Below are 17,832 nucleotides of genomic sequence, written 5' to 3'. Positions count from 1 at the left end.
AGATAATTGAGATATTTCAAAGGAATTTTAAAAACTTAGCATATATAACATTTATTCAAGAAGTATCTATATTGTAGATCTGTTTTGGACATTGATTTCTCTTCCATTGGTCTATTTGTGCCAATGTCATACTGTTTTAGAGATATTATAGCTCTGTTATAAGTCTTGATATGTTGGAGGAAGCCTTTGACTTCATTCTTCTTCAAGATTTTCTTAGCCATTCTTGACCCTTTAAATTTTACATACAGAGTTTAGAATCATCTTGTTTCCCAAAAGAAAAAAAGAGATATCTATTGTACTTCATTGAGTCAACAGATCAGTGTGGTGGTGAAATCACATCTTTATAATATTGTGTTTTCTAACCCATGAATACGTTATATCGTCAATTTATTCTTTAATTTACCAAATAATATTTAATAGATTTCTTTGTGGAGGTCTTCACATCTTTCGTTAGTTTTCTTCTTGGGCATTTGGTGGGTTTTCTTTTGACAGTATTGTAAATGATATCATTTAAAAATTTTATTTTCTAACTGTTTTGTTTATTCTATATAAAAATGCAAGCATTTTAAAATATTGGCCCTATATTCAGCAACCTTGCTAAATTTATGTCCTCTAGTGGTTTATTTGTTGATTCTTTTGGATTCGGTACCTTGGTAATCATGTAGACAGTTTATTTCTTCCTTTCCAATCTTTCAATATTTTATTTATTTTTCTTGTTTTGTTACGTTGGCTAGTTTTTCTAGAACTGTCCTTAGAAATAGCAATAACAAAAATCCTTGCCTCATTTCAAGTTTTAGAATGAAAGCTTTCAACCTTTTCTAATACATATAATGTTTGTTGTCGGTTTTTCTTAGGTACCCTTTATCTGATTAAGGAAATTCTCCTAAATTTCTAGTTTACTAAGAATCTTTATTATGAATGGATGTTGAATTTTATCCAGCTTTTTCCCTGCATGTACCAAGATGATTATATAGATATATAAATATACATATTTCCTTTTATTAAGTTAATGTGATGAATGTGATTGATTCTCAAATGTCATGTCTACCTTATATTTTTGCCAGTCTTGGTTTGATAATGTTATCTTTAGAATTTTTGCATCTATGTTCAAGAGTAAAAAATTTAGTTTGTAATTTTCTTTTTTTTAATTATACTTTAAATTTTAGGGTACATGTGCACAACGTGCATAGTTTGTAATTTTCTTGTGTTGGATAGAAGAAGAGCAAGGATGATGAGGGCCTATTGAAGGGAATGATTAAAATAATGGACCATACGATATAAGCTCTGTAAGGACATCATTTTTGTTTTATACAGTTGATACTCATTTAGATTTACTCACCAGGTAAAGAAGATAAGTGAAAACAAATAGATTTGTAGAGAGCAAGATATACAACTTTTTCTATCTAAAATAGTAGATCACTAATCAGCCCTGTAGCTCCTTTTATAGTTTTCCTTTGGTCTACCAACCACTTAATTGTAAATGCTTAGTGAAGTCAATTTGAATCTTTGGCTCTAGTAGAGAGCTGCTTAGCCACATGATGCTTTGCTTATGAAAAGGAAGCAGTAATTCTAATTATTTGCAATTAGAATCTGATTCAGAATTGCACCATTCAGAAGCAGCCCTATTTTTAAAGACATTGACACGTCTGACTGGGCTGCATTCACAGAGTACAAATGCAAGGGAAAACTGCAAAAGGAGGATGGTTCATGGTTTTGGCTGGCCCTAGCATGTGTTCAGTAATTTGTAAAGGTCATATGTTGGAGTGAGTTGGAGCCATCACCAGGACAGGAAACAAATATAGTGTTTCATGTGGCGAGCATCTCAGACTACTGGACCTCAGGACTAATGTTTTCTCCCTTGAATGAGAGCCAGAAAACTGAAGGCGGTGGGGCGGTGGGGTGGGGGAGATGCTCCCTACCCACTCTGACCTGTCAGTCTGCAATTTCTTTTGCATGTATTCAGTTGTATCCAGATACTAGATTTTTCTTGGTGTTAAATAAGATCGACTAAACATTCATTTGAAAAATGGTGAATTATTAAATTCTGGGATGTAGCATAAAATAAAATACCTGTTTGAAAATAAGTGTTCTATCTATAAACAATTTTAAAGTTTGATTTTTTCCTACTTTTGTCAACATCTAAAAATAGTGAACTTAGTAACAGCTGACAAAAGCCATGTGAATAAAACTGATTCCATAATCAACATATTAAGTACTATTAATATATCACATAGAATTTTTGTTTCTAACATTTAATATTCATTTAGTGACAATCTTTTAATTACATCTCTAAGTTTTTTAACACTAGATTTACTTTGGAAAATATCTTAAATATTTCTTATTTTACAAAATCTTTTAAGGAAATATAAAAGGTTAGATGAACATTTCATATGAGAATGCTGTTGTTTTCAGTCAAAAGCTCTTTCAGAAATTACAGAGCCAGGAGGAGTAAATGTAGATTAATAAAAAAATTGGCAATAGTAGCATTAGAATTGAGTTAAAGTGTAAACTTAGCTTACATCTTAGATATCTGAATTATGACTTTTTAAACAAATATTCATCATAAATTACAGAGTTAATAACAAAAGGAAAAGCTCATACTAATATTTCATCAAATTATTTGAAAATGGTGTTGAAAATAGTATTATATCAATACTTGAATTGATGGAGTAAATAGAGAAGTTAAAAATTATAAATGGTTACTTTGAATTACCTTTGTATTTTGGAAAGTATTTTAGAATTCTTAGTACTTAAAATTATCTCAATGGTATTTCTAGAATGATTTTATGCACATGGAGCAGATAGTTAGAGATTGTGGTTGATCTAGCTCAGAAACAACCTGTATAAAAGTTTGAAAAACAAAAGGGAGTTATTTGTTGTCTGCTGTTAAATCATAGTCAGTGGACATGGCTTGGAAATGGAGTGCCATGAAGGCTCATCTGAAAATAGGAAGATAAGATTAATGTAGTAGAATCATGTATTACTGTGAATTTTAATAGCGTTATGCCATGTTCTAATTTCAGCAGCCTCACACATTTGCAAGAGTCACTCAGTAGATATCGATATTCAGCATGAATTCTGAACACATGGTTTTTCTTTAAAGAACAAAATGATACATTTCATTTACATGTTCAAATGCTAGAGTATATATTTAATTCACTGATATAAGATTTTCAAAAGCACATCTTTTCAAGAAATAATAGAGGAAGAGTTTGGAATATCACAATGCTATACATATAATAATCCATCTAAATCTGACATTAGGATCCATTGGTTCATCTTAGTCCGACTTCTTCACTTAGAATTTCTGGCAAATTGCATTTGAAGATGTGGAATGCTTTTTTTTTTTTTTTTTTTTTTTTTTTTTTTTTTTTTTTGAGATAGAGTCTCACTCTGTCACCGGCCTAGAGTGCAGTAGCGAGATCTTGGCTCACTGCAACCTCTGCCTCCCTGGTTCAAGCTGTTCTCCTGCCTCAGCCTCCCGAGTAACTGGGATTACAGGCACGCGCCACTACACCCAACTGATTTTTGAAATTTTAGTATAGATGGGGTTTCCCATGTTGGCCAGGATGGTCTCGATCTTCTGACCTCATGATCTGCCTGCCTCGGCCTCCCAAAGTGCTGGGATTACAGGCGTGAGCCATCCTGCCTGGCCGGAAAAGCATTTCTTAAAATGCAAAAGGTGAGGCCAGGCATGGGGGCTCATGCCTTTAATCCCAGAGCTTTGGGAGGCAGAGGTGGGAAGATTGCTTGAGCCCAGGATTTCAAGACCAGCCTGGTCAATATAGTGAAAGAAAATGCAGAGGGCTACACAAATGATCCCTCACTTTTTTTTTTTTTTTTTTTTTTTTAGAGTTTATTCTCTCTTTTTTTTAAAATTATACTTTAAGTTTTAGGGTACCTGTGCACAACCTGCAGGTTAGTTACATATGTATACATGTGCCATGTTGGTGTGCTGCACCCATTAACTCGTCATTTAACATTAGGTATATCTCCTAATGCTATCCCTCCCCCCTCCCCTCACCCGCAACAGGCCTGGGGGTGTGATGTTCCCCTTCCTGTGTCTATGTGTTCTCATTGTTCAATTCCTACCTATGAGTGAGAACATGCGGTGTTTGTTTTTTTGTCCTTGCAATAGTTTGCTGAGAATGATGGTTTCCAGCTTCATTCATGTTCCTACAAAGGACACGAACTCATCATTTTTTATGGCTGCATAGTATTCCATGGTGTATATGTGCCATATTTTCTTAATCCAGTCTATCATTGTTGGACATTTGGGTTGGTTCCAAGTCTTTGCTACTGTGAATAGTGCCGCAATAAACATACGTGTACATGTGTTTTTATAGCAGCATGTTTTATAATCCTTTGGGTATATACCCAGTAATAGAATGGCTGGGTCAAAATGGTATTTCTAGTTCTAGATCCCTTTGTTTTAATGCTCTTCAAGTGTAGACGTTAAGATGCCAAAAGCTGTAAAGAGACAGCAGGTGTGCATGTTCCTTTCCATTAAAAAAATCTTAAAAGGCTTTGAGTTCGTGAATGAACATGTGCCTGTTTTCAGTTCCCAATGTATGCAGGAATCTTCCATGCAGCTTTTAAGGGAAGTGTGTCTTATACTTTAGAACAAGTCCTATGGGTTGGTTTCTTGAGAATGTGGAAGAATAAAAAATATTTACTCTGTGACGCTTGACCAGTGTGCTCCATTGTCTTGTTAGTACACATAGTGGGAGGAGGTAGAATGTTTTGATATCTGTAGGATTAATGGGGGTAATTTGGGGGTTTCTAGTGCCTTCTTTTTTCCTTCAAGTTCACTAGATGAAAGGACAGTATCAGATTTGTCTCAGGTTTTTATTCTAAGTAGAGCCAAAAGCCTTTATATCCAAATCTTGTCTCAGTTCTATGCTTCTACAATGCAAGGAGGACCTCTGTAATGCATATTTTTGTGAACATGAGTAGCTAGTCTTTTAGTCTTCTAGGAATCAACATTTACCAACATGACCCTGGTTACTACATTCTCAACAGTCTTCATATATTACCACATTCAACCTTTAGAAGAGTCATGTGATGTGGAGTTCAGCTGTAATAATTGATACTGAGAAATCTGAATTCATATATTTGCTATGCCATTTATTCAGTTGGTGGCTGTTGAAATTTCACCTAATCTGTGTCACATGTCTCTATGTTTTAAAATGTACACAATAATAGTAAGTGATTCAGGGGATGCAAGGAAGACTGATGGTGTAATGATTTGTTTCAAGTTTCAGCTGGCCACTGGCAAGTTCATAACCTTCTGCAAATTTATTATTAGTAGTTGGGGCCCCAATTATTAACTCGTGAAACTCTTTGAAAAAAGTACTATAAAATATTTGATAAGCTGCAAGCCATAATTCTAAAGTACTGGTTGAAATTTCTAATAATATTGAGAAATCACAGAGGACTGTAGATTTTCATACACTTTTATGTTATGAAACACTACTAATTTTTAAAATAAATATATTTCAGGTTTATATTTTATTAGTTATATTACAATAGGCAGTTTAACCTTCCTGTTCCTCACTTTTCTTAGATATAATAATAATAATATCCTCATATATAAATATAAAATTATTATCCTCATATATAAAATGAGGGTATTTTATTTTATTAGTTATATTACAATAGGCAGTTTAACCTTCTTGTTCCTCACTTTCCTTATATATAATAAAATATTATCTTATATAAAATTATGATTATTATTATCATCATATAAAAATTATCCTCATATATAAAATGACGATAATAATAGTACTTACCTCATAGGGTTTTTGTTAATGCTAAATGAGATAACATATGTGAAGTGTACGAGTACCTGATATGTAATAAGCACTCAGTATTATATCTTTATTGTTATTGATAATAGTATTAATAAGAAAACTCAATAGTGTGGCAACATAGGGCATATAATAGATCCAGAAAACAATTTAAATCATAAGAAAATGTGAGATTTCACAATACATCTGATATGGTCACACTTTATCTCAAGGGTCACCCAGGTATTTGATCTGTTGCACATTCAGCAAGTTGTTTGAGATGTTAAGTCTAGAACAAGTATTATTTCACTTTTATGTCCTCATTTAAAAAATGGATTGTTGCATGTTAGTGAAGAAGTGTAAAATGTGTTTCCTTATCTGGTCAAATATAGAGCATTATATCAATTCTAGCCTGTGTACAGACATCAGAATTAACATTGTACTTAATTTTAGGCAAATCAAAGAGCACATATCTGTCTTTGAATTGTTCCTATTGTACATCACAATTATTGTTCCTACCCTGAAGATCTGGCCTGATAAACTCTTTTGTCTTGCTCTTCAATATATTCTTTTCTTTCATTTCCCTCTCTCACTACCTTTCTTCTTTCTATCTCTCTCCTCCATTATCCTGCCTTTCTTCAACCTAATCCTTTTTCTTTCTTTCCACGAACATTTACTGAGCACTTATAAAAGGCAGAACATATTGCCCAACAGTGTTCTCAGTCTTTAGGGAATTTATAGCTTGGTGGTGGTGACTGTGTTTAGGGGTGGGCTAGTAGGGAGAGGCTTAGATTTTATCTTATGGGCAGTGAGGATCCATTATATCTCATCCTAAATAGGGATGAGATAAAAGGAATGTTTCTAAAAATGAATCTTTTTGGACATAAATGAAGGATGAATGGGAGGGACAAGAGATTGAAGACAGCGGGAACATTTGGGAGACTCCGTGTCTAATTTTGTATTCATTATTCTAATAATGTTCTGAGGTGAGAAGGACCTGAATGAGTTTGGAGGCAAGGACTCTGCAGGAGAAGCAATACAAGGAGCATTTTGAAGGAGAAATGGCCAAACTTGGTGACTAGATACAAAGGGTGAAGGAGGGATAGGAGGAGCCCAATGGTAATGTTCAGTTTTGAATATCAGTTATAGGTATCGGGAGACTATTTCTCACATTAATAGAAAGATAAACTTTGTATGGGAGAAGAAAATGATGAATTCAGCTTTGCATGTTTAAATATGAGGTGCCAGTAGGACATCCAAGTAGAATTATGGGATTCTAATTATATTATTATTTAACAGTAATTTTCTAGTAGTTTATATTCTTATTATTATTTTAACATCCTCCTTGCATTCTAGAATACACCATGCTGTTATAAGAGATATTCAATGTTTGTAATTTTCAAGTGTTTTATGCTCTAGTGGGCAGATTATCATTGTTGCATGGTGTGCGTGATTTTGTATTTTGGTTTGGTCTAAATTAGTTTTGGGTCTTAATACGCTTGTTATTAATAAAAGACAACACAGTATTTTAACATTTGACTCAATGGGACCTAAATAGAAAGGGATGTATTACATAGAAATGATGTAATTGAACTGGCCAATGTGCTTTGAATAGTGGCCATTTATGTAGGGTATTTGGAAAGGTAAGGAATTGTATCAACATTTGTAACACCACTTAGGTATAAATACAAAAAAAAAAAGTAATGAGATTAGATATTTAGCCAAGAAAATAGTAATATATGCTGTTTTTAAAAATAATAATTTAAATTTAAAATTACAGTAATAAAATAAGCTCATTGTAATAATTTAAAGGGCACCGAGATGTTAAAGAAAGCATGTAATAGTTTTACTGTCTCTGTCTTCTGTCTCACTTACTGTTAAATGTTTGGGGTGTATACCTTTTAGGCTCATTATACAAATTTTATGAGTACTTGTATATTTGGAAGAGTTTGTTTTTACAAAACTGGGATTAAACTACACACACCATTTATATTTTTACTTAAAAATGCATTCTGGACATCCTTCCATATCAAAATTTATAGACCTAATTCATTCATTTAACAACTGCCTAACATTACATTATTCAACTACTTCTCTATTGAGGATTATTGTCTTAATTGGTTTCTTATTTAGTCTCCTGGGATTTTCAGTTATGCAAGGCTTTCATCTACAAAATAAAATCAGAACAATGAAAAAATTTTCTTCCTAATATTCATACTGTTTATTTCATTTTATTTTCTTATTGCTTTAGCTAGTATTACCAAAACAATTTTATATGATAGTGATGAGAGCCAGCATATTGCTTTTATAGCAGTCAGTTTGGTATATTACTATTTACTAAGAACTTATTAATAATATAACACATATTGATGAATATATGACCCAATACAATATATAAGACCTGGATAACAACCCAAATGCAACCACATAATTTCACTTCCGTCACCCATTTTGTTCACTTGCCTCCCCTTACCTGAAGCAACCAGCATTCTTAATTCCATGTTTGTCATCTCCTTGCTTTCTTCTTCTTACGTGATGTTATTATACCCATATATGACATATATTTTTATTTTAGTTTTTAACTATATTTTAAAAACTATGTTGGATTTAATTTTCTCACTTTCCTTACTTACAGTGACAACATTTATTAACACTGTTGTGTGTTCAAGTAAGAAATTATAGATCTCTTCTAAATTGTTCAATTACTTTGCCAAAGAGTTGTATAGAATGTTCTCTTATGGTTGATTCCATTGCTGATGAAATTAAACCCCTGAGATCTGTATTGATAACATTATCAATATTTATATTGATAACAATATCAATAACAACAACCAAAATTTGTTGTTAAATTTTGGTTCTCTTTCCTTTTGTTTTTAAACGTCATTGTCAAGCAGAGTCCCTGTGTCATTCTATTATAAAGATAAATGCACACATATATTCATCGCGGCACTATTTCCAATAGCAAAGACATGGAATCAACAAATGCCAATCAATGATAGACTGGAAAGAGAAAATATGGTACATATACACCATGGACTACTATGCAGCCATAAAAAGGAACGAGATCATGTCCTTTGCAGGAACATAGGTACAGTTGGAAGCCATTATCCTCAGCAAACTAACTCAGGAAGAGAAAACCAAACAACTTATGTTCTCAATATTTATAAGTGGGAGTTGAACAATGAGAACACATGGACACAGGGAGGGGAAAAACACACACTGGGGCCTGTCAGGGTTGGGGGAGGGAGAACTTCAGGAAAACTAGCTAATGCATGCTGGGCTTAATACCTAGTTAGATAGAATGAATAAAGTCTAGTACAACAAGGTGACTACAGTCAGCAATAATTTATTGTACATTTCAAAATAACTAAAAGAGTATAATTGGATTATTTGCAACACAAGGAAAGGAGAAATGCTTGAGATGATTTATACCCCATTTACCCTGATGTTATTATGTACTATATGCCTCTATCAAAATATCTCATGTACCCCATAAATATATATACCTGCTATGTACCTACAAAATATTTTTTAATAATAAAAAAATTTTAATTAAGAAAACACTCTGAACCAGGTCCCCAGGATTTGAATCCCAGCCATGCTACTGATTAGTTAACATATGGCTAGATTTTGTTCATTAACTCATTTCTATAAAGTTTCTGTTTTTTGGTGGACAAATTCAACCCATTCAGTTTTATCATGGTAAATGATCTGTTTAGTTTTGTTCCTTTTATTTGTTTTTATTTCTACCTCCATTACTTAGCAACTGTGTGAGTTTCTTAAGCTCTGTATGTTGTAGATTCCTCATCTGTAAAATGAGATTAACAATAGCACCTATCTTATTTGGTGTTATTAAATGTTTCAATGATAATGATAATAATATTCTTTAAAAATTTATGCTTTTTTATTGCAGACTTTTTTTCTGTGATCTAATTATCATCTCCTTCAGTGTTCTCATTTCAGACAGAAACTGTTTCTTTCATCATTTTATTTTATTTTTTAGCTTTTATTTTAGGTTTGGGGTACATGTGCCAGTTTGTTATGTAGGTAAACCTGTGTCACAGGGGTTTGTCGAACAGATTATTTCATCACCCAGGTACTAAGCCCAGTACCCAATAATTATTTTTTTTCTGCTCCTCTCCCTCCTCTCACCCTCCACTCTCAAGTAGGCCCTAGTGTCTGTTGTTCCACTCTTTGTGAACTTGAGTTCTCATCATTTAGCTTCCACTTGTAAGTGAGAACATGCAGTATTTGGTTTTCCATTCCTGCATTAGATTGTTAAGGATAATGGCCTCCAGCTTCATCCATGTCCTCCAAAAGATACCTCGTTCCTTTTTATGGCTGCATAGAATTCCATGGTGTATATATACCACGTTTTCTTTATCCATTCTGTCATCGATGGGCATTTAGGATTATGAATAATGTGGCAGTCTTTCATTATTTTAGTTTGCACAGAAACCATCTATTCTAGTTTAGTCTCTGTCAGCCTGATTTCTTCAAACCATAGTGCTTTCTTAATTGAATTGTGTTGTTTTTTACTTATTATTGTTAGCCATTGAGATATATAATTTCTTAGCACTTAGGCCAGACAGACTTTGGGAGATTCTGCAGGCAGTGCGATATTAACAGGCAGTAGAAGATAAGATGGGATTTGTTCTTCTGCTAGAGACAAGTGGTAAATTACTTGACAAGAGGGATGCTTTCTTTTGAGGAGTGTGGAGAAGGCTTTTCTCTTCTTAGATGAGGGCCGCTTGTAGTCCCACATTGCAAATCATATCCAGTGCTGCTACATCAGCTAGCATAGTCAGCCTTTCCCAGAATAGGATGCCACGTATGGACAAGGAAAGCATCTCTTGCTGAAGCTTTGTTCATTATCACTTCCCCCACCCCAGCTTTATTGATGTATAATTCATTGATAAAAACTGTATATATTCAAGGTATACATCATGATGATTGATATATGTATACATGCAAAATGATTACCACAATCAAATTAACACATCATCACCTCACAGAGTTACCAATTTGTATGTGTGTGGTGAAAACACATAAAAGCTATTCTCTTAGCAAATTTCCATTAAATAAGACAGTATTATTAATTATAGTCACTATGCTGTACATTCAATTCCCAGACATTATTCATCTTATAACTAGAAGTTTGTATGTCTGACCAGCCTCTCCTCGTTTCCCTCACTCCCCAGCTCCTGACAACCACTGTTCTACCCTTTGTGAAACTTAGTTCTTGTCCTTTCTAGTTTTCTCCTGTGGACAGACATTTGGGTTGTTTTTAGGTTTTACTATTATGAATAAAAGTGCTATAAACATTCTTTGAAACATTTTTTAATTGTGGTAAAAAAAAAAAAAAAAAGGTGGCCAGGCACGGTGGCTCACGCCTGTAATCCCAACACTTTGGGAGGCTGAGGCGGGCAGATCACAAGGTCACGATATCGAGACCAGCCTGACCAACATGGTGAAATCCTATCTCTACTAAAAATACAAAAATTAGCTGGGCATGGTGGCGCACGCCTGTTATCCCAGCTACTCAGGAGGCCGAGGCAGGAGAATTGCTTGAAGCCGAGAAGCGGAGGTTGCAGTGAGCCGAGATCGCGCCACTGCACTCCATCCAGCCTGAGGCGAGACTCTGCCTCAAAAAGAAAAAAAAAAAAAGGTAACATGAGGTTTGCCATCTTAACCCTTTTTACGTGTGCACTTCAGTAGTGTTAAGTATATTCACATTGTTATGCAACAGATCTCCAGGACTTTTTCATCTTGCAAACTGAGACTATATACATTCACAACTCCCCATTTTCCCTTTCTCTATCCCCTGGTAACCACCAGTATACTTTTTGTTTCAGTGAATTTTACTATTTTAAGTATCTCATTTAAGTAATATCATACAGGATTTAAAAAAAAAAACTGGCTTATTTGACTTAGCATGATAACTTCAAGGTTCATTCATGTTGTCATATGTCACAGCATGTCCTTCCTTTGTTGTTGTTGTTGTTGTTGTTTTTGTTTGTTTGTTTTAGAGGTGGAATCTCATTCTTACCCAAGCTGGAGTGCAGTGGTATATCATAGCTCACTGTAGCTTCAAACTTGGAGGCTCAAGTGATCCTCCCACCTCAGCCTCCAGAGTGGCTGGAACTACAGGTGCATGCCACCACACATGCCTTCTTTCCTTTTATATACTGAATAATATTTCATTGTATGTGTATACTACATTTTGTTTATTCATTCCTTTGTCAATGGACATTTGGGTTGCTTCTACTTCTTAGCTATTGTAAATAATACTGCAATGAACCTGGGTGTACAAATAGCTCTTCAAGACCCTGCTTTCATTGTTTTTGGATATTTACCCCAGTAGGATTGCTGGATCATATGGTAGTTCTATTTTTATTTCTTAAGGAACATCCATATTGTTTTCCGTAGTGGTTATACCATTTTACAACACTACCAACAGTGCATAAGGTTTCCAATTTCTCCACATACTTGTCAACATTTGTTATTCTCTCTTTCTCTCTGTTTTGTGTGTGTTTAATAGTAGCCATTCTTATGGGTGTGAAGTGATATTGTGGTTTTGATTTGCATTTCTTTAATGATTAATTGTGCTGAGCATCTTTTCATATGTGTGTTGATAATTTGTATAATGTATTTGGGAAAGTGTTTATGCAAGTCTTTACTCATTTTTAATCAGGTTGTTTGTTTTCCTGTTGTTGAGTTGCAGGAATTTTTTTATATTCTAGATATTAATTCCTTATCAGATATATAGTTTGTAAATATTTTCTCCTAATCCATAGGCTGCTTTTTTGCTTTGTTGATTGTGTCCTTTGAACAATAATTTTTTAAGTTTGATGTAGTCCCATTTGTCTATTTTTGCTTTTGTTGCCTGTGCTTTTGATGCCATATCCAATAAATCACTGCCAAATCCAATGTTATGAAACACTTTCTCTATGTTTTCTTCTAGGAGTTTTAATATCTTGGGTCTTTTAGATTTGTAACTCATTTTGAGTTAGTCTTTCTATATTGAGTGGTCTTGGCACTCTTGTCAAAAATCATTTGATCATATACACAAGGGTTTATATCTGGGGTCTCTATTGCAGTTCATCAGTCTATATATTTGTTTTGCTATGAACTTATACCAGTTTTCTTGTGAATGTATATTTTCCTTCTCTTAGATAAATACCTAGGGGTGGAACTGCAATGTCATAGGGTAGATGCATGTCTAATTTAAAATTTGCCAGATTGGTTTTCAAAGTGATTGTACCAGTAGGTATTATTGCTCTTTGTAATTTTAGTCATTCTGGTAGGTAGAATCATATTTTTTTTTGTCTCTTGGTTGAATTGGTATTGAAGCACCTAAAGATACCTGAAATTTTATCTTTACTATGTTGTTAATTTATTTTTTGCCTCTTTCAACTAGAGTGTAAGCTTTATGAGGTGCTATTTGCTCCTCAATACCTAAATGTTTCCTGATATGGATTAGACATGCAATATTTCCTTTAAATTAACAAATAAATCAAAGCATAAATATTTATCTTTTCCTTGATTGAGATTTCTATATATCAGGTATATCTGGGATCTCCTCTAGGGTCCAGTAATTGGTCATGGATATTTTAGTGACCAAGTCACTTCAGGAGAAAATGGCAAGAAAAAGTTTTAGGACTGCACAATTTGTCAAATTTCCAGAATTTTCCACTGAGATAAATTTTAAAACCTAGGAACATAACAATATTAAAAGCTAGATGTTTTTAGGAATTAGAAAAAGAAGTTCATAGACACTTTTCAAAAGAAGACATACAGGTAGCCAACAAACATATGAAGAAATGCCCAACATCACTAATCGTTAGAGAAATGCACATCAGAACCATGATGAGATACCATCTCACATCAGTCAGAATGGCTATTGCTAAAAAATAAAAAAAATAATAGATGCTGATGAGGTTGTGGAGAAAGGGGAATGTTTACACACTGCTGGTGGGAGTGTAAATTAGCTCAGCCACTGTGGAAAGCAGTGTGGCAATTCCTCAAAGAACTAAAAACAGAATTGGCATTCATCCCAGCAACCCCATTATTGGGCATATACCCAAAGGAATATAAATTGTTCTATAAAGACACATGCATGTGTATGTTCACTGCAGCACTATTTAAAGTAACAAAGACATGGAACCAACCTAAATGCCCATCGGTGACAGACTAGATAAAGAAAATGGTGGTACATATATACTATGGAATATTATGTAGTCATAAAAAGAATAAGATCATGTTCTTTCAACAACATGAATGGAGCTAGAGGCCATTATCCTTAGCAAACTAATGCAGGAACAGAAAACCAAATACTGCATGTTCTCACTTGTATGTGGGAGCTAGATAACAAGAATACATAGACACACCAAGTAAAAGACACCTGGGCCTACTTGAGGGTGGATGGTGGGAGGAGGGAGAGGATCAGAAAAAAACAAATATGGGGTAACATACTTAGTACCTGGGTAACGAAATAATCTGTGCACCAAACTCCCATGACACGAGTTTACCTGCAGAACAAACCTGCACATGTACGCCTGAACCTAAAATAAAAATTAAATAGAAAAAAAAGAATAAGACGAATAAAATTTTTTATATTAATTAAAAAAAATTCATCTGTGGAAACTTAATGTCTAAAGTGTTCTGTTTCTTTCTTACAGCCATAGGATTACATTCGTACTTAAAATGAATTATTTTAATAATAATGAAATATGTTTTTATATTTATATCTAATTCTTATAATACAGCCATGTCTTGGTTATTGATTATTTTGGTATTGATTACTTGGTTTCTAAACTATCCAGGACCTTTATTTCTTCTCACTTGACTCCTTTGGTCCGCTTTTCTATTGAAAATACCACCACCAAACAATTGTCAGAAAAATTAGCCAAGAAAAAAGGAAGAAGTAAAGAGGAAAGGAGAGGAACAAAATGAAGGGGAGAGAAATAGGACAAGCACCTGTGCAGCCTATGAATTTTTTTTTCCATTAGGGCAATTAATTAAGATTTAAACGCACAGGCATAAATGTGTAAGTTTCTGTAAGTGCGTAGGACTTAAATGCATATTACTTCACTGTAATAATCTTTAATGTTCAATTATTTTTCATGCAGTATTTATATATAAGCAAACATAATAAATCAGGTATTTTATATAATCAAGTACTAAAAAATTTATAGGAACATTTGCCTTTCTGGATTCAATAGATTCACCCACATATTGTTATTTTGCTTAATTTTCTGTTGTTCTTGGTGCTTTTCGCATGTAGTATAAAGAAAGTTTGTTTTTTTCTATATTTTATGAAGTTTCACCCTACAAAATGGTACTACTCTGTAATGAGATTAAATGTCATTGTTGACTTGAAAACCTAATTTACATGCTGAGAAAAACATAAGAAGTCCTGGATATTTTTATTTTCTACTTGGTAGTTAATAAATGCTTTTGAATCGTCATACCTTCCTTTTCAAATATGACTTAGATAAAATTTCTTGTTGGTAAAATCTAAGAAAATGTGAACTTTTGCAAACTTTTTATTACTATAAAAAGCAATCTTCATGATAATGCTGTACAATACTATTTTAAATAACAATTTCTCTTTGTTCTTTTATTTTCATGTTGGGAACAGATATGTAAGTATTAAATATTTTTGGCTGTTCTATTTTTTGCGATATTTTTCGTCACATCCAATTTAATGGCTCTGCATTATATTCTTTTTTTCTCCCTAGAAAGTCAAATAAAGGAAACCAGTTTACCCTTTCATACCTACAGCAACATGAATGAAGATCTTAATGTAATGAAAGAAAGAGTTTTAGGACACACATCAAAAAATGTACCATTGAAAGATGAAAGAAGACATTCCAGGAAAAAACGTCTTATATCATATCCAAGATACATTGAAATTATGGTTACAGCTGATGCTAAAGTGGTTTCTGCTCATGGATCGAATTTGCAAAACTATATACTGACTCTAATGTCAATTGTAAGTAAACTTAATATGACTTTTATATTTCCTAAAATGTTTAGCTTAATGAAATTTTTTCATGTCGAATTAAATTTTTTTTCCAAACTCTTTAGATGTAATTTTGTATCTAGGTTTAAGCCAAAAATAAGATTTCATTGAAGTTTAGTTTAGATAGAGTTATAGCAAGTATCCTATTCTGTTACTTGGACACCTTTCTAAAACATTTAAAAATCCCCAAAACCTCTTATAGAAAATGCTTGAATTATTCTTTACTTTCTCACATGAATGGCTTCTGCCCTCTAGTGACAGGACTATCCTAGTTGCATTGATCTTTTTGCTCTTTGAAACTGAATTTTAAAACCTTACCCTATTTCTGCACAGAGGGGAGAAGATACTATTTTTATTATGGCTATATTCTCCAAATCAGAAATTTGGACGCTTAATATTTTAAGTTATACATGTATTTATGGCGTTAAAGGGATAGATTATTACTAATGCAACAGTCCTAACAAATTTGGAATATAAGGTCACGATAACTCTAAGGGTCCTTGATCTGATGTTACTATCTTTGTCAAGCAGTGGTAGTGCTAGTACCCACAGAACTGAATTCTAGAGCTAGTGAAGGGTGTCAATCCTGTGTAAGTGGCATCACGCTTCATCCTTACATGTGTGTGTGTGTGTGTGTGTGCGCGCGCGCGCGCGCGCGCGTATCCCCCTCCACCACCCTGGGACATTCCTGAATTAGGCCTGTTATTTTAGAGTAATCACTAAGGGTAGCCCTTTTCATGCTAGTTTAGTTGATGAATTACTGGCCAGGTGTGGTAGCTCACACTTGTAATCCCAGCACTTTGGGAGGCTGAGGCGGGAGGATCACCTGAGGTCGGAAGTTCAAGACCAGCCTAGCCAACATAGTGAAACATCATCTCTACTAAAAATACAAAAAATTAGCCAGGCGTGGTGGTGAATGCCTATAATCCCAGCTACTCGGGAGGCTGTGGCAGGAGAATCGCTTGAACCCGGGAGGCAGAGGTTGCAGTGAGCCGAGATCGTGCCATTGCACTCCAGCCTGCGCAACAAGAGTGAAACTATGACTCAAAAAAAAAAAAAAAAAAAAGAATTACATAGCCACCTATTTATAGATTCAGTGTATTTGGAACATATCTCATTGCTGGAAGTACTTCTATTCACATATAGGGAATTCAGGCCCACTTGGTTGAAAAGACTTAGCAAGGGCATATCTATAGGATATTGTAAATTTCCCTTAGCTAGATCCCAGTTCATTGTGACATGAAGATCATAAGAGACAATCATTTTTCTAAAATATGACATTTTACCTTAAATTCTTATTGTTATACCATAGTCTACGTTGCCTAAACACAGTATATGATACAGTGTGGGTACTCAATAAATAGTTACTGAAAGAATGAATGGAGACATGGTTAAAGTATTAATAAAAGTAATATTTTTTCAGAATTCAGTGCATTGTGATAAATAAAAACAAATATATAAAATGATTTTTTGAAATTGTGTAAAATTTACCCTTATTTTGTTTACTTCAATTGAATTTTTTAAAATGACAACAGAAGTATAGATAGAAATTTATCCTAATTACTTTTTTTAAATTCTGAATTTGAAGTAAAATTACCTACATATATTACCTAGATGAATAATTATCTAAATGTTGGTATGGCAAACTCTAAATTATGAAGGGATTCTAATGAAAACTATGGTGTGGAGGATGTCAGTTGATATGTACAAGATTGTATCAATTATATGGAACAATGGGATATACTTTGCAATAGAAAATGGTTAAAGGAGATGACATTCATTAAGAAAGTTGGGGCTCGGCGTAGTGGCTCACGCCTGTAATCGCACCACTTTGAGAGGCCGAGGCATGCAGATTACCTGAGGTCAGGAGTTCGAGACCAGTCTGGCCAACATAGTGAAACCATGTCTCTACTAAAAATACAAAAATTAGCCAGGCGTGGTGGCACATGCCTGTAATCCCAGCTACTTGGGAGGCTGAGGCTGGAGAATCGCTTGAGCCCAGGAGATGGAGGTTGC

General features: G+C 33.9%; 1 protein-coding gene across 2 annotated transcripts in view; it reads left to right on the top strand.

The window, feature by feature from the left end:
* The window catches only part of ADAMTS20 (ADAM metallopeptidase with thrombospondin type 1 motif 20), a 199,441-nt gene that overhangs the window by 34,266 nt on the left and 147,343 nt on the right, over positions 1-17,832 (top strand). For both annotated transcript variants that reach the window (XM_011538754.3, NM_025003.5), the window contains exon 4: positions 15,533-15,786. In XM_011538754.3, the coding sequence (XP_011537056.1) occupies positions 15,533-15,786 (254 nt within the window). The remainder of the gene's footprint in view (positions 1-15,532; positions 15,787-17,832) is intronic.

The sequence above is a fragment of the Homo sapiens genome, chromosome 12 (genome assembly GCF_000001405.40).
Source record: "Homo sapiens chromosome 12, GRCh38.p14 Primary Assembly".
NCBI classification, from domain to species: domain Eukaryota; kingdom Metazoa; phylum Chordata; class Mammalia; order Primates; family Hominidae; genus Homo; species Homo sapiens.
The sequence above is the reverse complement of the archived record's forward strand: the minus strand, read 5'-3'. Positions and strand labels throughout refer to the sequence as shown.